Below are 24,225 nucleotides of genomic sequence, written 5' to 3'. Positions count from 1 at the left end.
AATAACAAACATCAACACATTTCTAAATGGACCCACCAAATTATAAACCTAAATTGTAAACCTGATAATGGCTCACTGCAGCCTCAAACTCCTGTGCTCAAGTTTTGGAAACTTTTATTGGAAATTTGGTTTAAAAGCTAAACACAGATGCTCCCCTCTAATAGTCCCAGATGATACCCCCAAGTCCCTATCCCATTCTAAATCGAGGAACTAGAAGAGGGGTGACACAATTAATAACCAGGCATCAGAGGAAATAGGGAGCGAATACTGCATTAGAACCTAGGACCAACAGGTCAGCCTCCCTGAACACCTGCTTCTCCATAGAGGTCCCAGTATAAAAACAAACAAACAAAAAAGATTTGAAAATCAAGACTGTACGACAAAAATTTTTGTGTTATATACCCAATTTTTAAAAAACAAGCCTATTGAGGAAAGCTTATTTTTAATGTATACGATATTTGGTGTTAACAAATTCCAAGGATGTAATTATCAAAATGAGGATACAGAAACCTTTTTTTTTTTTTTTTGAGACAGAGTTTCACTCTGTCCCCCAAGCTGGAGTGCAGTGGCGGGATCTTGGCTCACTGCAACCTCTGCCTCCCGGGTTCTCAAGCAATTCTCCTGCCTCAGCTTCCCAAGTAGTTGGGACTACAGATGCTCACCACTACGCCCAGCTAATTTTTGTATTTTTAGTAGAGACGGGCTTTCACCATGTTGGCCAGGCTGGTCTTGAACTCCTGACCTCAGGTGATCCACCCACCTCAGCCTCCCAAAGTGCTGTGATTACAGGTGTGAGCCAACATGCCCAGCTTAATAACTTTTTATAACTGTCACTGATAACCTTAATATTTACAAGGGACTAATTCAGTATGAAGAATAGCTTCAGAAAAAAATCCTATAGGCATTTAGAAAATTTATAGGCAAAAAGATTATTTTCATTTATTAAATATCTCAATTATCTAATGTTACATAATAGCTCAAATTTCAATTTCTCAGTATAGAAATGTAAGATCTCATTTTGCAGAAATGTGATTCAACTGACCCCATCCACTACAAACTACACAGACACATGGCCCTGGGTAACTTAATCTCTTTGGGCTTCAATCTTTAGAGCTGTATAATATAATGCACTCTAAGCTTACAAGTCTAAAGGTCTACTTTATGATGTTATGAACAAGTTTAAACACTCCAGTCATCTTTTAACAAATGGTTTCTGAATCTCCTTCAATAACACAGACTTATTACAAAAATCACATAGGATCTTTTATAGGCCAAAGCACCAAAGGTAAAGTAATGAGAAATACATGAATTATTCAAAGTAATGAAATGACTCAAACAAATTAAGATTAATATATTTGATTCTCACTATGTGGGTATAACATGGCAACAAGCTAAAATAAAATTCCAATAATGGACAAAGAACCAGTATTGGATAGTATATTCTATCCAATACTGGTTAGCATATATATATATATATATGCTCTCTCTCTCTCTATATATATATATGCTCTATATATATATATATATATATATATATGCTCTATATATATATATATATGCTCTATATATATATATATGCTCTATATATATATATGCTCTCTCTATATATATATATGCTCTATATATATATGCTCTCTCTCTATATATATATGCTCTATATATATATGCTATATATATATATGCTCTATATATATATGCTATATATATATATGCTCTATATATATATGTGTGTGTGTGTATATATATACATACACACACACACACACACACACACACACACACACAATTCAAATATATTGATATGGTTTGGCTGTGTCCCCACCCAAATCTCAGCCTGAATTGTATCTCCCAGAATTCCTACATGTTGTGGGAGGTGTCCAGGGGGAGGTAATTGAATCATGGGGGCCAGTCTTTCCTGGGCTAGTCTCATGATAGTGGATAAGTCTCACAAGATCTGACAGGTTTATCAGGGGTTTCCACTTTTGCTTCTTGCTCATTTTTCTCTTGCCGCTGCCATGTAAAAAGTGTCTTTTGCCTCCCGCGATGATTCTGAGGCCTCCCCAGCCATGTGGAACTACAAGCCCAATTAAATCTCTTTTTCTTCCCAGTCTCAGATACGTCTTTCAAGTCTTTATCAGCAGCGTGAAGACGGACTTATACATATATATACACACATACATATATACATACACACACACACACACACACACACACACATACATTTTTTTTCTTGAGACAGGGTCTCACTCTGTTGCCCAAGCTGGAATGAAGTGGCACAGTCTTGGCTCACTGCAACCTCTGCCTCCTGGCCTCAAGGGATCCTCCCACCTCAGCCCACCAAGTAGCTGGGACTACAGGTACAAGCCACCACACCTGGCTAATTTTTGTTTTTTTTTGGTAGAGACGGGGTTTCACCATGTTGCCCAGGCTGGTCTTGAACTCCTGAGGTCAAGCGATCCACCCGCCTCAGCCTCCCAAAGTACTAGGATTACAGGTGTGAGCTACTGTGTCTGGTCAGAAAATATTTTTTAATATTACAGGAAGTATAAAAGAAAGCATAACTACATTAAAATGTTGCAGTACTGTCTTCCCTATCCAGATCTTCTGAAAGCTTTTTCCCACAGTGATATTAAAGAACATTTCAAAGGCCCAATGTTTAATTTTTACAAACTTCAATAGACGTGTAGAGTCAGACCAAAATTGATGAAAGCCAAGCACCTAATGATGGCTTCCTATGTGTAAGACATAACGATGATGATCCTAAGAGCTAATCTTTATTGGGTGCTAGTATTACATGCCACGCACTGTTTTTAGTGCTTTACATGTATTATCTTATTGAATCCTCAAATACGCTTACCTGTGAGGTAGGTATTCTATCTCCCATTTTAAAGATGAGAAAACGGAAGCGCAGAGAGAGTAAGTATATTTCCCAAGAGGACATAACTGAGAAAGTGGCAGAAATGGACTGGGAACCCAGGAAGTCTAACTCCTGAGTCCAAGTCTTTGCTGCACTAATAGGCACGTAGGGGACCCACAGACATAAACACTGTTCAGACCCTGAAAATACTGCATGATGCACAGAAGAAGCAGGGAATAAGAATCAGGTTATGTAGGACGAATGGCATGACTCATATTTCAGACTGCCACATCATGAGGCACTTACAGCACACATGTATAGCAATTTCCCTCAATTTCCACCCTGTGAGAGTCAGCTTCTAAGATGGCTTCAATTGTCTCCACTTCCTGGTATTTTTGGTTTTGTGTACTACCCTCTCACATTGTTTCAAGGTTGGTCTGGTCTGTGTGACCAATACGATACTGAAGAAGTGATGATACGTGACTACCTAGGCTATGTCAAAAGGCACTGTGGCTTCCACCTTGCTCTTAGATCGCTCACTATGAGAAATGTTAGCTGCCATTTATGAGGACACTCAAAGAGCCAGGCAATAAGAAACTGAGGTTCCCAGCCAACTACTAGCACTAACTCACCAGGCATGTAAGTCGGCCACCTGGGATGCAAATCCCCCAGCTCCAGTGACATCCTGACTGAAACCTTATGAGAGATCATGAGCCAGCTAACTAGCCCCTCCATTCTTGACCCGCAGCAACTGTGAGATAGTAAATGTTTGTTGTTTTAAACTATGAAGTTTTGGGGTAATTTATTACATAGCAATACATAGCTAATATACTCACAACATTTATTTTATCCTTTTCGGTTAAATGAAATTTTGTAAGCTACCTTAAATTGTTTTTTAGAATTAGCAGGGGAGAAAAAAGGGAAAGAAAGAAGCAAAATCTAATGGCCCAAAAAAGGCACATGGATTGAAGAAAGTGACATTTAAACCCTGTTTGAACCTCACAAACCCTGAAAATGCCCCCCAAGCTCAACTGGATAAGCAGTGTGTCTCCCACTCCATAACTCAGCAGGAAGGAAAAAGGTCAACTATACCACACAGGTTGTTTTACTCCTAAACATGCCCAGTGATGAAAGTTACACTGTGAGTACAATCAGGGAGAGAAATGCCAGCAAATTAATTTTTCCGACAATAAAATGGCACTTTTATGTCACCCCCGATCAAAAAGCTATAAAGGCCTCAATCCTACAAACAAAGTGAAGGTCTATGTCTTGGCCTGCCCTTAGGGGCCTTTTAGAACCTGGAGCCATTTTTTCTCTTTCAACCTTCCTTTCCATACCTCCCCTTCTGAGGACTTCACATTTCAGCCAACACAGTTTGCTCATTATTCCCTCCCCATGCCTCACCCTGTTCCCAACCCCCACACTCCCTATGCTTTCCTGCTCCATGATTTTGTTCATGTCATTCTCTTCTGGGGGAAAAAGTGTATCCCACTTCTCTCCTCCTATTTAAACCTTGCTAATTTTTCAAGACCCATTCAAATCCCCAAAGAATCTTTCCCAGACATTACCACCTACAGTGACCTCCATTCCCCGGTGATCTCATACCACTTACTGGCCATACCACTCACTCGCTCACACTGAGGTCTTTTAAAAACTCCCCAAGGGCCAGGCACAGTGGCTTACACCTGTAATCCCAGCACTTTGGGAGGCTGAGGCAGGCAGATCACCTGAGGTCAGGAGTTCAAGACCAGCCTGGCCAACATGGCGAAACCCTGGCTCTACTAAAAATAGGGAAAAAAAAGAAAAAAAAAATTAGCCAGTGTGGTGGTGCACGCCTGTAGTCCCAGCTAGTTGGGAAGCTGAGGTGGGAGGATCACTTGAGCCCAGGAAGCAGAGGCTGCAGTGAACCAAGATCACACTGCTGCACTCCAACCTGGGCAACAGAGCGAGACTCCACCTCAAAAAAAGAAAAAAAAAAAACCTCCCTGATATGGTTTGGTTCTATGTCCCCATGCAAATCTCATCTTCTAGCTCCCACAGTTCCCAAACGTTATGGGAGGGACCCAGTGGGAGATGACTGAATGATGGGGGTGGGTCTTTCCCGTGCTGTTCTCACAATAGTGAATGGGTCTCACGAGATCTGATGGTTTTAAAAATGGGAGTTTCCCTCCACAAGCTCTCTTTTTGCCTGCCACCATCCACGAAACACATGACTTGCTCCTCTTTGCCTTGATTGTGAGGCCTCCCCAGCCATGTGGAGTCTAATAAACCTCTGTAAGTCTAATAAACCTCTTTCTTTTGTAAATTGCTCAGTCTCCAGTATGTCTTTATCAGCAGTGTGAAAACAGACTAATACACTTCCCTAGAATTTAATTTCTTAAGAATCTCTATTTTTGCCATATTTTATTTTGAGAGTAAAAACTATGCTTTTTGGGTTTTTTCCATGTCCTTTGCAGTACTTGGATGGTGCACAGAAGAGGTCTAAAAACAAACAATATCTCCCTATTTTGTTCAGGGCAAACAAAATGTATCCTGAATTAAATTTACCTTCTGATTCAATGGAGATATAGTGTCAATGGCAGAATCAACAGGAAAAATTTGAATCCTCTGTTCTGTGTAGGTATGAAAGTTTAGAAGAGCCGTCACAAGATCCTGAACAAAAGCCAGGGCCTGCCCAGCAATATCTCGCATCTTCAGCTTTAAAATGAAAAATATATAGTTAAGGTCAACTCTCAAATTATTATCCTAAAAGAACTTTATTGAGTCTGATCTGGAGAAAACATTTGAATCCTAGTGTGATTATTCCTTACTTTAAATTCATCTGCTCCCACTTGAATTTTAATATTCCTATCTAAGTAAATTAGAAAGCCACCAATTTGGCAAATACACCTCCTGCACTTAACCCAGACCACTTAAGTATAAGGTCTACCAATCCACAAAAAAGTATGGCTCAAAACATTAATGCATCTCATAATTTAGTTCTAATGTTATCAGACAAGGGAGATAGCAAAAATCTGTGTTACTTATGAATGCAATAAAAAGCAAGCTACATTTGAATAAATGTATGAGAAACACGTAAAGCAACAGTTAAATGCAATGACTGAATGCACTAAACAGAGGTCCAAACACAACTAATTCTTGTTTCTGGAAAGTCTGATGTATATATAACTGAAAATAAAAACATGTACTTCATCCTTTACCTGGTGTCTCCTATTGTGGAGTGGAACGTTCAGAGCGTTGTACTGACTATATTCTACAGAAGAAAAATAATGTACATTAAGTCTCTCATTTCACATATACTGGAAAATAACTTAAATGCAAAATAATGAATGCTCTGAAGCAAAATCAACTTTACATAAGAATTTAAAATGATCAACAATACAGAATAATGGAATTTACATAGAATCAGTGGTTTCTCAGATAAAGTAATACTTCCCATCTTTTTTTAACTTCAGGCTTAAAAAAAACCCAAACAAATCCAGTGTTTCCATTTCTAAGAAATCATTTCAAATACTGCTTTCAGGCTTATCAGGACTACTTAGAAAGGCTCATGACGTTCTTGCTGTTTTCAGTCATTCTCCCTTCTAAAATAACCCTCCACAAAGCCGCCACGCTAATCAGCAAAAAATACCACTGTTTTCCTGACACTACATTACCGGAAAAATCTATCACTGTCTGCCACTGTGGATCCCAATGACTCAATCCTAACTTTCCTGGATGGTATCACTATCTTTCTCAGTCTTCCTCTCTACCCTGGTCTGTTACTAACCTCTGGCAGCTTCCTCCTACCTAGCCATACCTCCTCAAACTCCTCCTTAATGAGCTGCATCTCTCCTCATCTCTACTCATCCCTTCAGCCACTCAAACCTGCCCTTCTCTGCCCAGGTTCTCAGTCAGAATGACCCCAGTGCCAAAATACGATTCAGAATGTTCCTGTGGCATAGTCACCCAGTTCCCTTTTATGTCTCCATTGCTACTCACTGGGCTATACATTACCAGCTTGATCTCCCATCCACCAACACCTCTGGACACTTCTATCAGCCATCTTTCAGCCTTGCTTGTTTTGCTTCCCAGCCTGGTCCATTGTTTCAACAACGCTTTTGCTAACACGAATCCCGAGTAAAGTCCACTACAATTTACTCTGCCTAACTCCAGGGGGCTTCAACTCTACTCAGCAATCCACAATTTCATTGCCGTGTGCCTATTTTATTTCCCATGGCATCTATCCCAAACCTTTTCTGTTTTAAGCTCCTAATACCATTCCTCCTCTCCTCTCCACTACCCAATGGATAGGATGGCCTCTCCCTACTCCACCAAGAAAATCACAGCCAAAGCAAAAGAGTTCTTACACTCCCCACCCTCCACCTCGGTCTACTGCTTGCATATCCTTTCCTCAGCTAACCGTCCTCCTGGGCCCTTCTGCTTCTGACCCCCTCAGGACCTTAGGACATAATCACTCCCTGCTTCTATCTTCAGTATCTCCTCATTACAAATAAAGCATTTGCTGCAGCTCATTTAACTCTTGTGTCCACAGTGAGTCTCTTCCATTACTTAATCACACTTAATTCTCTGCCCTGACTCCTGTCCCCAGCCTTTTCTTTCACTTTGCCCGTCTGTCAGGCTCTCATGCTTCTCCATTTCCTTCATTCCCACTGCTCAAAAAACAGCACTGCTCTGCCTATTTCCTCAGCACCCATTCACCTCAACTCCCTGTGCTGGCAATCTAGTGTCCACCTACACCCTGCACAGAAGCGCTCCTCGCAAAGTATACTAGTCCTCTCGAGGCCACAAAATCCAGTCACCAAACCCAGTCGCCTTGATACATCACCCTCTGACCTCTCCACAGCAATGCGCAGAACTGACCTGCACCATCAGGTTGAAACTCCCTTCTCCAGCTTCTACCTCACCCCGTTTCCACAGCTCCCCTCTGCCTCCTGATCACTGGGATGGAGAACTCACCAAGGACCCTGCACAGGCCTGACTGCACTGTGCACCCACCACTCCCAACATGAGGGCTCCTCCAGCCCAATAGTGTTGACATCAGTTTCTCTGCCAAAGTCTAGTCTTTCATTTAGAAAGGCATACATCAGCAGTTATATAGATACATATGAACCCATCTGTCAGAAGATTAAACAACAACAAAGTTAACCTCGTTGTCTCTCCCATAAACCTGCTCCTGTCTACCTCTTTTCTTTCGGTCAACTGCATCACCATCTTCCCCATGACTGCCTCTTTCTCCCTTGTCTCCTTGAAAGGACCAGTCTGCTCCCTCTCCTTCCACAAGATCTTCCACATCTCCCCAATCCAGGCTAAGCCTCCACAATAGTACGCCAAAACTATCATCACAATAGTCTTTGACTCCCTTGTCCCACTCCTAGGTAATCTACACTCTGTTGCCAGATTAACCTTGTGAGTACACATATAGCAACATGATGTTCCCTGGCTCAAAAACTTCTCCAACAACCCCATGGCCTTATGAATGAAGTTCCCAGTCCTTAGACCAGAACACTAGGGTCCAGTCCCACCATACCTTTCAGAACTTACATGTCCTTGCCCTGCACATCCCACCCACCCTAAGCCTCCTGTCATACTGGATTACTGCTCCTGAGGGCATGATGACACCTTTTCTCCTATATACCATACTTCACGTAATTCCTTAGATTTTACCCTTATCTCTGCCCAATAAAACCTGCTCACATATCCAGGCCCAGCTCAAAGCACCCTTTTTCTGGGAAGGCTTCCCCACACCATGCCACCAGCAGTAACATGTCCTTCTCTGAAACCCCAGGAGGTTCTTTATGGCACAGTCTAGTTTATATTATTGACATTTCTACATCTATCTCTGCCTTACGAGGCTATAAACTGCTTGAGGTAGAAATTTTGACTTACCAATTTTTGCATCCCCTATGCTACTGACCTGTCTAGGCACTCAGCAAATGATCTTTAAATATTTCAGGACTAAAAGTAATAGTCCACATGTGACAAGAAAGGGACCTAAAACAGGGTGACAACTAGTATTAGAAAAGGAAGGATAAATCCATGATTCAGAAGGAAATTATTAAAACCTAATGATTGAGACAAGGCTTAAAGGGAAAATGTAATGCCACAGTTTCAAATCCAGTGAATCCAGTAGTATTTACATTAATGTAGAAGCTAGAAGCAGGTGTTATTTTCAAAGGGGAATTTAAATTTTTGATACAATAATGACATGGGCTGATTTTAATCTTAAATCAAACTGCTATTTTTCTTTTTTTTTCTTCCTCTTTTTTTAGGTCTTCCCTAAAAAAATTTAGGGGAAGTAAAATATTAATTTCAATCATGTGATTACAGAAAAAGGAAATGTGCATCAATTTGAATGTAAGTTTCAAAATCCAAACAAGCAAATATTTTCTTTGCTTTTGAGGTTTTGACTTCTTACCTAAAGGTTGCAAATTTGGCACCTATTACACATGTAAAGTAGTATTTTTTAACTTTTTGTTGTTCCTGGGAATGTAAATTATCAAACCATTCCCAGGGTGAATAGGAAGCAAGGCTTAACCAAGTTAGCTTCGTAGCTATTGCTGGGAATTGACCAAGGGGTAAGTCATAATTTTAAGATGATTTAACTCCCACCACCAAGCCTCATTTCCCCCACCCCAATCAACAATTTTTCTTGTACAAATATTCAACTATTTATGTGCAGGTTGTTTTTTATCTTGGAAAATGCTAAATACATGCAATCAAAAAATGTGGATTTGGGCTTCTTCCAAGAAGACCAGCTTTGGAGTAGTTATATGACAATTTAAAATCTTCCTGTTAAATATGATTACCACGGCTGATCAAATGAACAAAGAGAAAGCAATCTTCTGTGGGGCCAATTAAATTTTTTGCCCAAAAGATTAAAAATTACTTTAATTAGTTGGCTACCACAGAGAGATTCAAAGTTACAAATAATGGAAAACTGTACATAATACCTACTTGTATCATTAAAAGGTACTTTTTCATTGATGATTGATAAGGATTCCTCTAATCTACCTGACAAATCTTCATGAAGAGTCTTTAACTGTAATTGACTGCAAAAAAAAAAAAAATACAAAACCACATTATCACCAATCACTGAGTGAATCCTCATTTATTTGTTACCTCAACAGCTGGTAGTAGGCTTCCAGAGAACTGCACCTGACATCTGGGATACTCTTGGCAGAGAGTTGTTAAAAGAGGAAGATAACAAAAACGCTAACCTGGCTTCTCAAGTCCCAGGGACTTCTGGAGAATGATGTGGAAGTTTGGAGGAATTTATCATGGTACGAGTGTCTTAGCCAACCTTACATTTATTTCCCCAAGCTCAAAGTAATCTTAGAAATAATATTTCCCCAAGCTCAAAGTAATCACAAATGTTCTCGTTACAACACATAAGTATTCACTAGTATCACTATAGACTTTTTTTAAGTACATACTGTATTAGCCTTCTTTTCCCCTTGAACTCTTTCTGTGTTTGGTTCAATTATGTACACATCTAAATCATGCATGTAATTCTAACGATGCAACAAAATCGATATGAGAAATTCACTTAGTTGATCCTATTAAAAACTAAAATATTATCAAATAAATGTTGGAGTACACCTTTACCATGCATTACTAGTATTTTGATTTTAAAATTTATGTATCTCCAAATTAGATCGCATAACCTCTATTTTATTCAAAATGTACCATTAAAAGATTGGCATGGTGATTATCAGTTTTCCTTCCTGGGACTATCAGAGGCCCCTTCTGTTTAGAGTAGTTTCAAACACAAAGTCTCCAGTCTTCAGTGCAAGAGCTCCAGAACACGATCTGCCACAGCCCCAAACCCTTGCAGGCTGAGAACTAATACACAGGCCACTCTATCAAGAATGCTTAGGGCCCCGGAGATCCCAGAATTGAAAAGGACCCTGTAGATTACTCCCATTTTCTCCTTTTAAATGTAAGACAATTAAAACAGAGGAGCTGCTACAACCAAAACCCATGTCTTCTGAGTCTTGCTTCAGAACCCTCTTGGAATTCAAGTTTCCACATACCATTCTTCCGTTCGAAGTCGACATTCCTTGGCTTCCTTTTCTAGAGTCTGAGATTTCACCTGAATTTCAGAAGAAAAAGAAACACAGATGGCTCAGGCTACGACAGATAGGAGCACACTTAGTAAGACCCTGCAGGCAAAAGTCTCACCAGAAATGACTAACTCTAAGTGGATAGACAATTTATTAATACAAAAGCTGTAACTATTTTTTAGTGTGCTCTCACAATGGGGCTTACTTCTAGTTTAGCCTTGTCGTTCTGCAGCTTCTCAATGGTTTCCATGTACTTCCGGGTGAGACCGTCAACCACAGCTTGGTGCTGGGCTGCTTCTGTCTCCAGAGTGGCCAGTCGACTCCTCAGCTCTGCTTCCACATGCTTGTGCTGCTCATCAGCTTCAAAAAACTAAAAAGAGAAGACCATTTTCTCTTCTCACAATATCCTAATATACATAAATGAGAAAAATAACAGCAGTGACTATTCACTGAGCAACTTCCACATGGTTCCATATGCTGACTATGTTAAACCCACACAGGCATTATCTCATTAAATCCTCACAGGATATCAGAAGTAGCTACTGTTATTCCTCTTTACAAATATGGAAACTCAAGCTTAAAAGAGTTAATAACTAGTCTAATGTCTCACAGCTAAAATATAGTAGAACTGAGATTTGAACACAGGAAACCTACTCCAAAGCCTGCACCTCCTACCTCTCAGTCTCATGAATTTCTGTTTTAAACAATGTCTGGCATACATAGAATTCAATTGATCAGAGTATAACTTTTCTACTAAGCTAACTTTCACATAAAATAATCAAAATTAAAACAGGTGTTATTCTTAAAACAGGTAAAGCTCTTTCCTGTAATTAGAGTCCAATACTAATAAAGAATTGTGAATACTTAGATATAAAATACACTGTGGTCAAAAACAACTTTTTCAAAGACTGAAAAGCGTGTCTGTTTGTGTGTGTGTGTGTGTGTTTCCTACCATTTGACCAAAAAAAAATAAGTAAGGAGGTTATAGTTGGATACACTATACTATGAATCTTTTTTTTTTTTTTTTTTTTTGAGACAGAGTCTCACTCTGTCGCCCAGGCTAGAGTGCTGTGGCTTGATCTCGGCTCACTGCAAGCTCCGCCTCCCGGGTTCACGCCATTCTCCTGCCTCAGCCTCCCAAGTAGCTGGGACTACAGGTGTCTACCACCACGCCTGGCTAATTTTTTGTATTTTTACTAGAGAAGGGGTTTCACCGTGTTAGCCAGGATGGTCTCGATCTCCTGACCTCGTGATCCGCCCACCTTGGCCTCCCAAAGTGCTGGGATTACAGGCATGAGACACTGCGCCCAGCCCACTATGAATCTTAGAATATGCTCAGTGGTTTGGGGGCAGGCACTAACTTTTCAACATTCCATAAATATCTGAGTGCCTGACATAAGTAAGACACTGTCCTGGGACTAGGCATAGGAAACATACATGGTTCATACCCTCAGAGACCTTACAGTTTAACAGGGGTAGGGATAAGAACCAACTAAACATCAGTAAATTAAAAAACTAAACATCAGTTAAAAAAAAAAAAAAAAGGGAGGGGGAGGGAAAAAAGCAAATACCATTTATTGGTAAGCTCCCATTTAAATGATACATGTAATCACTTCCCATATAAAATGAATAATGCTCAGTATATTTCTGCACTGTTAAGTTATAAAGCTATTCTGCTGTCTTCTGAACAAATGCATATACTTCAAAGCACACATCCACATTAAGACTGTGTGATATTTAAGAAATGAATAAGTGACAGTGACATATATACTTGAAGACCATAGAAGACATTAAAATACCCACGCAGACACAAAACACTCTATGTGCATTAGCTTTTCCACATTAACAGATCACAGACCCATTTTTTAATTCACATAGAAAAACAGATTTTCTCACTTGTATATGCAACCGTTCATTCTCTTCTATCTTCTTTTGCAGATCTTCATCAAAGACACTCTTCTGCTCTTGACTCAACTGAGAAGAAGATTCTCCACTTTTCTGATGGAAAGAATAAGTTATGTCCACATAACTTTCATCCTTTAGAGAAACATCCTAAGGTACACAGATTCTCTATCATCTTAGAAGCTTGTCTCTTCTATGTGTTCACCATTCTCAAACAATCCTGCAAAAGCTATACAGTTCATCATTTAACTTTTCCTATGTGACACAAGTTGAAACTGCAAATATTGTAAGGAGCAGGAAAGCTTTAAAAAGAGAGAGAAAAGAACAGATAAGGCTTACTATTCTTTGCAGATGAATTCAGGAGTAGTTCTGCTGGAGGACGGAGCAGACCTAGAAAGCTCCAGCAATATAAAATAAGCTCATAAATATCATTTCAATTTGATCTTTTGGTTTGGGAAATGAGAGTTATAGCAATTTCATGAGTCGGAGTTGTTAAACTCCATAAGAAATTGTAATAAATTCTGTAACAGCATCCACAAAGGTAAGTTTATACAAAAGTTCATATAAATTTCTAAGTTAAAAAATATATAAAATAAAGCTATTATAAATAAATAGGAAAATTCTCAAAGATTATTTTAAAATCCCTTCCTTTAAATTTTTACTAATATGAACTCGTTCTACATAGAAGAATAGCACTATTTAAAACATCTAATAATGAGTATTTGTTTTCATGTAATACATAGAACTGAGACTATTCAAGGAACAGCCTAACAATGAAACTGTGTTCAAACATCAGTCACCACCCTTTCTCTGCTTTTTTTGTAGTCTCACTTCTCACTTAAAATGAACTCACCTACTAATCCAATTTGAATCAGTGATTTAAAAGCCCTTTGAAAATGGAGTAGCCATATAAAAAGAAATTAAATATCCATCATGTTTGGAAAACAAGAGGTGCATATGGAACACTGCAGAACGATGTATTCAGGGTCCTTAGTGCTTCCAAATTTGATGAGCTTTAATTAAAATTAATTCTCAATATTACACCCAAACCTCTGCTCAACAGTCCTAGGCAGGGATATTAAGAACCTGAAGAACATGTTTGAAGTTCAGATGACTATTCTCTCCCCAAGGGTCTTTCAGAATTTCCAGGGCATGTATCTTTTTTTTTTTGAGAGGGAGTCTCACTCTGTCGCCCAGGCTGGAGTGCAATGGTGTGATCTCGGCTCACTGCAACCTCGGCTTCCTGGATTCAAGCAATTCTCCTGCCTCAGCCTCCCAAGTAGCTGGGATTACAGGCACATACCACCATGCTGGGCTAATTTTTTGTATTTTTAGTAGAGACAGGGTTTCACCATGCTGGCCAGGCTGGTCTCCAACTCCTGACCTCCTGATCTGCCCGCCTCGGCCTCCCAAAGTGCTGGGATTACAGGCGTGAGCCACTGTGCCTGGCCTGGTATGTATATCTTGAAAAAGTTTCCCAAGTGATTCTAATACATAAGTGTTATACCCTCTCTGTTGCCTCCTTTATTTGAACACTAACACTCTCGGGAATGCTTCTATGTGGGGAAATGCATATGGGAAAACTATTAACATATAATTATGGCAACTACCCATTACATGGGAAATATGGCCCTAGGCACTTTTACATGATACCATACAATCCTCACAACAAACCTGAAAGGCTCATTGTCACTTTGCTGATGGAGAAACTAAGATTACAAGGTTAAAAATTGTGCCGAAAGTCACAGATTTATTAAAGGCAACCAAAGAATTCAAGCCTGGGCTTAAATCTGAAGCCTGTGCTCTTCTGGCCATACTGCACTCCTTCAGAGTCACTGTGTGCCTTCTCCTTCCCTTCTACCCATTCTACTGTTACTGCCTCAATACATACATTTGTGGAGTGTTAGTCTATATACATACAAGACTTAAAGACTCAATCACTACTTCTACCCTTAAAAAAAAAAAAAAAGAGCAGCAATCTCTTAATCACAATGTTCAAAAGTACCAGATTATCCACCTTAGAGCAATAAGAATCCCACCTCACCATATAAAACCATAAGGCAAAAAAACTCATCTCTAAATCTCAAGACAAGAACACCAAACTGGCCTCGTAAGAATAAATGCTAAGAAATTACATCTGCAGTAAACTTACAAACCTAAGGTATAAGTGTTTCAACTGCTACTATTTTTTTTTTTTTTTTTTTTTTGAGACAGTGTCTCACTCTGCCACCCAGGTCGGAGCGCAGTGGCCTGATCTCGGCTCGCTGCAAACTCTGCCTCCCAGGTTCACGCCATTCTCCTGCCTCAGCTCCCCCGAGCAGCTGGAACTATAGGCGCCTGCCAACACGCCCAGCTAATTTTTTCTATTTTTAGTAGAGACAAGGTTTCACCATGTTAGCCAGGATGGTCTCAATCTCCTGACCTCGTGATCTGCCCGCCTCAGCCTCCCAAAGTGCTGGGATTACAGGCGTGAGCCACCGCGCCCGGCCGCTACTTTCATATGAGTAGTAACGCTTTGACAATCTCCCTCATTTTATTTGCTCAACCTTGGATTAATGGCAACCTGGTATAACCAAAAGATGTCAAAAATTTTAGCTAATATAAGATATTCCACTGTCTCTTCTCGGCCACTAAACCAACTACATTTGCTCCTAATAAGTTCTTTAAAATTGACTATCATATAAATGTCCCTAACATTTAATATATATTAATAATAAGAGTCTGCTTTCTTGACCTAATATCCAGGTGTAACAACGGAACATTAAAAATTCAGGGCCGGGGCCAGGCACGGTGGCTCAGGCCTGTAATCCCAGCACTTTGGGAGGCTGAGGCGAGCAGACCACCTGAAGTCTGGAGTTCGAGACCAGCCTGACCAACATGGAGAAACCCCTTCTCTATTAAACATACAAAATTAGCTGGGAGTGCCACATGCCCGCAATCACAGCTACGTGGGAGGTTGAGGCAGGAGAATCACTTGAACCTGGGAGGCAGAGGTTGTGGTGAGCTAAGATCGTGCCATTGCACTCTAGCCTAGGCAACAAGAGTGAAACTGTCTCAAAAAAAAAAAAAAAAAAAAAAATTCAGGGCCGGGAATGATGGCTCATGCCTGTAATCATAGCACTTTGGGAGGCCGAGGCAGGTGGATCGCTTGAGTCCAGGAGTTCAAGGCCAGCCTGGGCAACATAGTGAGACCCCATCTCTACAAAAAATACAAAAATTAGCCAGGCATGGTTGTGCACACCTATACTTCCAGCCACTCTGGGGGCGGAGGTGGGAGGATCACTGAGCCTGGGAGCAGAGGTTGCAGTGAGCCAAGATCACACCACAGCACTCCAGCATGGGTGGCAGAGCAAGACCCTGTCTCAAACAAACAAAGAAAAAAATAATTCGGCAGTGGGGTCTTCTGTTAAAACCAGGATGCCCTGTAGGTGTCAGTAACTAACGACAAGGTCACACTAACTTGCCTGTATTTGAACCTACCTTGTTTTTCTTGCCTCGTGGTTCACTTAGAGCTAGTTCATCTTGAAGTAGTTCTACCCTCTTGGCAAGCTGCAGATTTCGAAATGTCAAACTGTCCATTTCCTGTTGTAGTTTTCTCAATGACTGATCCTTCATTTTCAGTTGCTCCTATATCAAAGTGAAAACAGATTGGTCCTCACAGTTTAGCTGTAAGGTTTAGAAATTTTATTAAAAATTATTTCTATTTCACCAAAATATAATCAAAACCTCTTGCTTTAGGAAATTCAGGTTGTATGTGTATCACTTCAGTTCTTAAGTTTTTAGCACTTTGTGAAAAGATAATCTTTTGGCTAAACCAAGTAAATATAAAAATAAGAGCAACTATACTAAAGTAACAGATCGTGATCAACTAACATCCTATGACAGTGAACAGACACAAAGATTGAGGCTACAAATTTATAAACTTATTTGATTTATTTATTTATTTATTTATTTATTTTTTGAGACAGAGTCTCGCTCTATTGCCCAGGCTGGAGTGCAGTGGCACAATCTCAGCTCACTGCAACCTCCGCCACCCGAGTTCAAGCATGTCTCATGCCTCAGCCTCCCGAGTGGCTGGGACTTCAGGCGCACACTACCATACTCGGCTAATTTTTTTGTATTTTTAGTAGAGACAGCATTTCGCCATGTTGGACAGGCTGGTCTCAAACTCCTGACCTCAGGTGATCCACCTGCCTCGGCCTCCCAAAGTGCTGGGTTTACAGGCATGAGCCACCATGCCTGGCCAAACTTAGATATTTAAAAAGAACCTCAGATTTACTGATGATTCCCTTCAGTGAAAAAGAATGGGAAGAAATATACTTGTATTCCATTTTTTCTGTAAATCCTCCCTGAATTTAAATTAGTCAAAATGAAGTCTGCAACACACTTAATTGTTCTTCAACTATTCTGACATATCAAAGATAAAAATCAGTATCATACCAAAAATATTTTCATATGCTGTCCTACAATAATTCACTTTAAAGCTAAATGACAATAGAAACAAAATCTAAAATATTCTGCTAACCTTTTTGACACACCCTCTGGTGACCATTTTGTTCTGTTTATGCCATAATGGGGTATGAAAATGGAAAACTAAAGAGAAATATTTAGTTTCACTCTTTTTTAAAAGAATTATTCTAACTATATTTTACTTATGATGTTCTGACAACTTTTTATTCACTGATTGTCAAACACAGATGGCCATGTAATACTGTATATTTAAAGAACTGGGCTGGCACAGTGGCTCATGCCTGTAATCCCAGCACTTTGGGAAGCCGAGACAGGAGGACTGCTTAAGCCCAAAAGCTGGAGACCAGCCTGAGCAACATAGTGAGACGTCATCTCTATTTAAAAAAATAGAAAATAAAAAAATAACTGTATGTTTACTAATTTCACTGAAACAATTATAAAACATGAAGGTCATGCTTTAACGAACAGATGATTTAACTGTATTGAAACAGCAACCTAGGCCAGGTGCAGTGGCTCACGCCTATAATCCCAGCACTTTGGGAGGCTAAAGAGGGCGGATCACTCGAGGTCAGGAGTTTGAAACTGGCCTGGCCAACATGACAAAACTCCGACTCTACTAAAAATACAAAAATTAGCCAGGCAGGGTGGTGCACGCCTGTGATCCCAGTGACTCAGGAGGCTGAAGCACAAGAATCACTCAAACCAGGGAGGCAGAGGTTGCAGTAAGCCGAGATTGTGCCACTGCACTCCAGCCTGGGTGACAGAGTAAGACTCTGTCTCAAAAAAAAAAAAAAAAAGGAACAGCAACTTAAAAGCCATAGGCTAGTGTCTACACTCTACTGACATTACCTGCATGTTGAGAAAAGTGCTAGAGGGATAGAACAATATGCTCCCATTAAGGAGAAAATAATTTTTTTCCTACATTTGTTTAGTAAAACCTTAATTTTTACTTGTAGTTCAAAGGCAAATTTAGGCCTAGCCCATGTCCAAACTATCATGTCTTTCAAATTTTAAAAATTCAAATCAATGAGCATTGATTACACCTAACAGCGCACTGAAAGGGTAAACCCAGTAATAAAACTAAAAGCCTCCTGTAACACAGGAAATCCAAATATTCCTGTCTAGCAAACTGGCAAATTGTCACTTGTTGTACTATAATTACAATGACTACTGTAATAAACAGTAAAAAAAAAAATAATTTATTTTTCTCATAATTTATATTATATAATTATAATATATAATTATGCTTATAATTCTTAAAATAAACTAATGCTCCAACTCCATTAACCAATCATTAATTTCAGAAAACATCTATCCCAGCCTTTCGCTAAACTCCAGTTTCTGTAATGGGGATGATAATGTTATCTGACCTCATCGGGTTGTTGTGAACACTAAATAAGATAATGGACATAATGGACTTAGCACAATGCCTGGTATGCAGTGAGTGCTCAATCAATAGAACCAGCTGTCACCACGCCTACCACTGTTCCTACCATTACTGCCATCACAGAGTTAATCAAACACAACCAGCAACAGGAGGGTATGAAACACCAGCGCAGGCTACTAGGACAAACAAGGAAAGACTTTCCCCAGCAATAAGTTTAAATATCATTTGGAGATATAATGATCATTTTTTCAACAATTTTGGTGAAACAATAACTTGACTAATAAATCCTGACTATAAAGCTTCTTTTTTAATCATCTTGGCTTGGGTGCAGAGAGCCTGGAAGTATGGGTGGGGTGTTCAGAACCATCTCAACCCTGAGAGTGTGCTAACAGCACCTGAGGAGGAGACACTCAGAGACAGATTTCTCTCCTGTAGGATCCAACAACTGACTACGTAAAAGGACAATTTCTGGGGCTTAGTTGCCTAAGTGGAGCCACCTCAGACATATTACTGATCAGGGGCTTATCCAAAAAGAGACAGAAGTAAGAGGAATCCTAATCCCATCTGTCTAAAGAGAGCAGAGGGAGCAAGAAAGGGAAAGAGCAAAAGAGTGAGCTAGACAGTATATTTAACTGAAACTTGGCCAAGAAGAAATCCAAATCCTAGACTTAATTTATCCATTTAAAAATATCACTAAGCAATATTTACTACATGCCTACTAGAAATGAGGCAGAAACAAATTCCTTCATCTATCATATTTCTCCCCTCAGTTAACAAAAATGCTGATGGTAAAATGTATCACTCAAAGAGTGTCCTGATTAACACAGGTTATTACTATTAAATAACTCAACTAAAGGCAAGATTTAGGGACTAAATGATTCACACAATGGAATCCACTTATTAGAGACCTGCCATCTGCTGAGTGAGAGGGATTCAAATAGGAATATGACATAGCCTCCCTCAGAAAGCTGTCTGTGATGACAACTGATAAGAAGCCTTAATAATCCAGATAAACCGAGCTAAGTAAAGGCCTTGAGGCACAGGAGTAATGCATTAGACAAAGTCACATAATACCTTTTTTTATAATTTTTAGCTAAGGAAATCAAAGTACCTCATGTTCTTACCTAAGCAAGTAGGAAAATTAACCACAAAAGACTGTATTACTGTCCCCTATCCCTAGTGAATCAGTGTCAGAGTTGGAACTTTAACCCAGAAAACCCAATGAACCTGCTTTGAGCAACACCAAATGCTAACTTAACCCTCACAACACAAATATCCTGTTGCCCACCTTTAAAGCTGCAGAATTTGCTTGTTCATCCACAACACCTTTTTTCAGAACCTGATTCTGAGCCCGAAGCTGAAAACAGAGAAAGCAATAATCAATTTCTAATATAAAGCAATTGGTTATATCAAGGAAATCACATCAATTTTACAGGCATCATTACACTGAGTAACTAAGTAGCTTCTCACATATATATGAGAACAAAAAAGTATTAGACCCAAAGAGGGTAGTAGATAACAATAATTCACCATTTTACAGATAAGGAGGACACACAGGCTGAGTTGCCCAATGAAATAAAAAAAAAAAATCAATGGCAAAAATGGGACTAAAATCCAGTCTCCTGATTTCTAGTGTGTCACTCTTTCTATAAAACCAAGTCCCATCCCTAAATAAAAACTAATACAATAAATAATATGGTACTGAATATGCCATGTTCCTTGAAATTCTGACACACCATTCATTTGTAAAATACATACAACTGGACTAATTATAAAGTAAGAATTCCACAGAAAATAAAAATGTGGGGCATCAACATCCCAGTAGGACACTGTGCCTAATATTAGACATGCAAATGTCATCATCAACAATGGCCTCGGGCATCAGCTGGGGCAGTGTACAAAAGCAACTAAGAAGCAGGCTCCATTTAAAAGTTAATAATAGTACCCACTTACATATGAATGCTCACTACAAACTAGGCACCGTCCTAAGTACTTTTATGTATTACTTCATCTAATCCTCACAATCCTGTGAAGTGGGTACTCTAATTACCTCCATTTTACAGATGAGGAAACTGAGGCACAGAGAAGTTAAGTAGCAATGCTGAGATTCAGACTCTACCAGTTTGGACTCCAAAGTCATAATGCCAATTAGACAATACTGGCTGCTATTTCACAAAGCTACATTTAAGTGAAAAAAGCAGTGAGCTGGAGAGGTGAGAGATGCCTTTGGAGAAAGAGGTAAAACTTGGGCTTTTTTTCACAGATAATTATTAAATACTGAGAAATAACGCTATTTTAAATAAAGTATACAAATCAGAAATTATGCAGCTAAATGCATTTTTACTTATGTATACATCTATATAACCACCACTGGCAGGGTTTTAAAAGATAAAATTTACTTCTGTAATAAGAGGAAAGTATTCTCAGTGAAGAGAACACAGAGCACTTAAGCATAAATATACAAGCTCATTGTAGCTGAAGCAAAAGGTTTACAGACTAATATTCCCAGGGCTCAGTGCAGATATCATGAAAGACCAGGTTCTTCTCTGAGAAACTGAAAGAATGAGACATCTTTGTATGTGAGCTTTAAAAAAAAAAAAAATCTATTTCTAAAATTAAAAATAAAAAATTTTTAAAAATCTTTCTAATTCTGCATAGCTCAGATCTGTCTCCTGAGAACACAGAACAGAAATGACCCTTTTCTGTGCCAAAAGAACAAGCATATTTGAATGCTAAATCTTAAACTATTTAAAACTCAATGGAAAATTTAGCTAAGATTCTGAGATAAAATGCAGGAATACTGCAGGATATTCAACAGTTTGAGCAAAAGACAGACTAAAAAGATGAGATTCTTCTATTTTTAGAAAGTTAGAGATGACAGTTCATTACCACAAGAGAAAGCAGACCCAAATATTTGCTCTGCCATTTATTAGACAATATAAACTTGGGAAATTCACTTAACCAGCTATATGGTCTATAGAATGGGAAATTCACTATAACCAGCTATATGGTCTATAGAATGGGTAAATTCATTTACCCTACCTTCCTTCTTCTGAGGCTACTGTGAGAACCAGATAAGAAACCTATGTCAAAGCACTTTCTAAACTATAAAATGCTCCACAAATGGAAACAGAGCTCTTATTATTAGAACAGATTCAAAATGACAACAGATATGTTTATTATAGTTTGCATGGTGTAAGGCATTGTACACCTTGATTGATATGGGTGAGAGATGTAAAAGATATGTTCTCTATTTTCAAAGAACTTACACTTTAAAAGGGAAGATAAAATATTAAAAGATAACTAGCAATACTAGTATTTCCTGCTTGAAAAAAAAAGTAGAAGAGATTAAATTCTCTAGAACACGGGTTGGCCAACTAAGGTCTGAGGGCCAAATTGGCAGGCTATTTTTAAAGTTTTATTGGAACATAGCCATACTCATTCATTTACGTACTGTCTATGGTTGCTTTTGAGGTACAATGGAAGAGACGAGCAGTTGCAACAGAAACCACATAGCCTCAAGCCTAAAATATTTACTGTGTGGCCTCTTACAGAGCTTGGTAAACTCTGCTCTAGAAGTTCAAAAGAGAGAAATACCACTTTAATGTTGACTTCCATGATGTAGTGTTCTACTTTTTAAGCAAATATCAACATAGTCTTGAATAATGTGCTACTTCACAGAATTCAATAAATACTTTCAAATCCATATAGCCAAAAAAATAGCAATACTGCTTCAGTCTTTAGATTTTATTTTATAAATCTAAAGACGTTAGATTTTATTTCATACCCCTGCCTTAGCTGTGATCTGTAATCTCTTACATGTCTTCTTTGTGTGGTATTTAGAAGCTCCTAACGACTACTTCAAGGACTAAGAATGAAGCTTGAAGTTCACTGAACTGATAATTTCCTGTAAAACCAGAACCACAGCAATTAATTTTAAGAAAAAAAACCTCATCTTTCATTTCTAAGGCACACTGCAGACTATTTAAAGCAAACTGAACAGACTGCTTTGTTAAAAAGCAAAATGAAACTTTCAAGCTATTGCTGTTAGGAATTTAATATAACTGATTATAACAAAAAAAATTAGGATTTTCCTTTGCAAAATATTTTTTACTAAACTGGTAACTCAAACATGGTTTCAATGAAACCATTTAACAGACAATGCAGCTTTTTAAGAAACTGTTATCTGAAAGACCTTTCTATTACTTAGTAGGTAGAAATGGAGGAAGATGATAAGCTTGCATACTCTATTGCCATTTTAACTACTCTTTGCAACATTTGATGTTTTTCTGCATTTCAGCATCACTTCTGCCACTCTTACTGCATTACTGAATGAGAAGCTTATAAAATCCTGAGCTGCTCTTATTAGCCTGATCTTTTTTTTTTATTTTATTATTTATTTATTTATTTATTTTGAGACTGAGTCTCGCTCTGTTGCCCAGGCTGAAGTGCAGTGGTGCAATCTCAGCTCACTGCAGCCTCCACCTCTCGGGTTCAAGCGATTCTCCTGCCTCAGCCTCCCAAGAAGCTGGGATTATAGGCACGTGCCACCACGCCCGGCTAATTTTTTGTATTTTTAGTAGAGACAGGGCTTCACCATGTTGACCAGGCTGGTCTTGAACTCCTGACCTCAAGTGATCTGCCCACCTCAGCCTCCCAAAGTGCTGGGATTACAGTCATGAGTCACCACATCCAGCCAGCCTGGTCTTTTAGAATCTATCTTTCTCTGCACCAGTATTCACCACAGAGGGGAGGCAAATGAACACTGTTTTTGTTTTAGATGTAGGTATAAGATTACCGGATGGTCACTACTGCCTCTAGGAGTCCAGAATGGAGACACCAATGCATATGACATAACTGAGAAACAACTGCCCTGAAGTCTCTATTAGTACAGAAAAACTCTCCTGCAGATGATAGAGCTTATTTTCAACAGCTGTGCACCAAGCTCTTCTGTTCCATTCAGTGGGGGAAGAGTACCTCTGAATCCCTCTTAATCCTTTTAAATCTCATTTATCCTTGTTTTGTAATTTTCTGATTCATTTTACCCTTACTTTGAGAGCACAGCCCTTCTTCACTTTGGCCAACCAAATCCCACCTGTTCTCTAGGATCCTACTTTTTACCTACTGGCCCTACTTCCTCCATAATTTTTCCTAATCACTCCCTGACTCCCTACGGCCCATAGAGAGCCTGTGCCTCAGTTCCTTTGGCACTTACTAACAACAAAACATCTCTTTAAAATTAAACTATTCAGTTTTAATTTTGCTTCTAAAAACAGTAAATTTTACATTTTACTAATATATGTATTTCTGTATAGGCTGGGAGCAGTGGCTCATGCCTGTAATCACAGCACTTTAGGAGGCTGAGGCGGGCAGATCACCTGAGGTCAGGAGTTCAAAACCAGCCTAGCCAACATGGCAAAACCCCATCTCTACTGAAAATACAAAAATTAGCCGGGCATGGTGGCAGGCGCATGTAATCCCAGCTACTCAGGAGGCTGAGGCAGGAGAATTGCTTGAACCCAGGAGACGGACGGAGGTTGCAG

The 24,225-nt window shown here is 39.2% G+C and overlaps 1 protein-coding gene across 6 annotated transcripts in view, besides 1 other annotated feature; it reads right to left on the bottom strand.

The window, feature by feature from the left end:
• PPP1R21 (protein phosphatase 1 regulatory subunit 21) overlaps positions 1–24,225 on the bottom strand; it is a 74,621-nt gene that overhangs the window by 44,340 nt on the left and 6,056 nt on the right. For 5 of the 6 annotated variants that reach the window (XR_007069367.1, NM_001135629.3, NM_152994.5 and 2 more), the window contains exons 2-9: positions 19,971–20,039; positions 16,306–16,452; positions 12,820–12,921; positions 11,129–11,293; positions 10,894–10,952; positions 9,815–9,909; positions 6,058–6,110; positions 5,405–5,554 (exon numbers count right to left, since the gene is read on the bottom strand). Coding sequence is in view for 4 of the 6 variants with exons in the window: in NM_001135629.3 (NP_001129101.1) it covers positions 5,405–5,554; positions 6,058–6,110; positions 9,815–9,909; positions 10,894–10,952; positions 11,129–11,293; positions 12,820–12,921; positions 16,306–16,452; positions 19,971–20,039 (840 nt within the window). In the remaining 2 variants the exon portion in view is untranslated. Of the gene's footprint in view, positions 1–5,404; positions 5,555–6,057; positions 6,111–9,814; positions 9,910–10,893; positions 10,953–11,128; positions 11,294–12,819; positions 12,922–16,305; positions 16,492–19,970; positions 20,040–24,225 lie in introns of all 6 variants that reach the window. The other variant, NR_024188.3, reaches the window with a different exon arrangement.
• Positions 23,184–23,685: an enhancer, noted in NCBI's record as "H3K4me1 hESC enhancer chr2:48674501-48675002 (GRCh37/hg19 assembly coordinates)". NCBI's record gives its function as "activates a minimal SCP1, AML or CMV promoter by ChIP-STARR-seq in primed H9 embryonic stem cells {active_cell/tissue: H9 hESC(primed)}" and the evidence as "EXISTENCE:reporter gene assay evidence [ECO:0000049][PMID:30033119]".

Source organism: Homo sapiens, chromosome 2 (assembly GCF_000001405.40).
Source record: "Homo sapiens chromosome 2, GRCh38.p14 Primary Assembly".
Lineage (NCBI taxonomy): Eukaryota > Metazoa > Chordata > Mammalia > Primates > Hominidae > Homo > Homo sapiens.
This window is presented reverse-complemented; position numbering and strand designations above follow the sequence as displayed.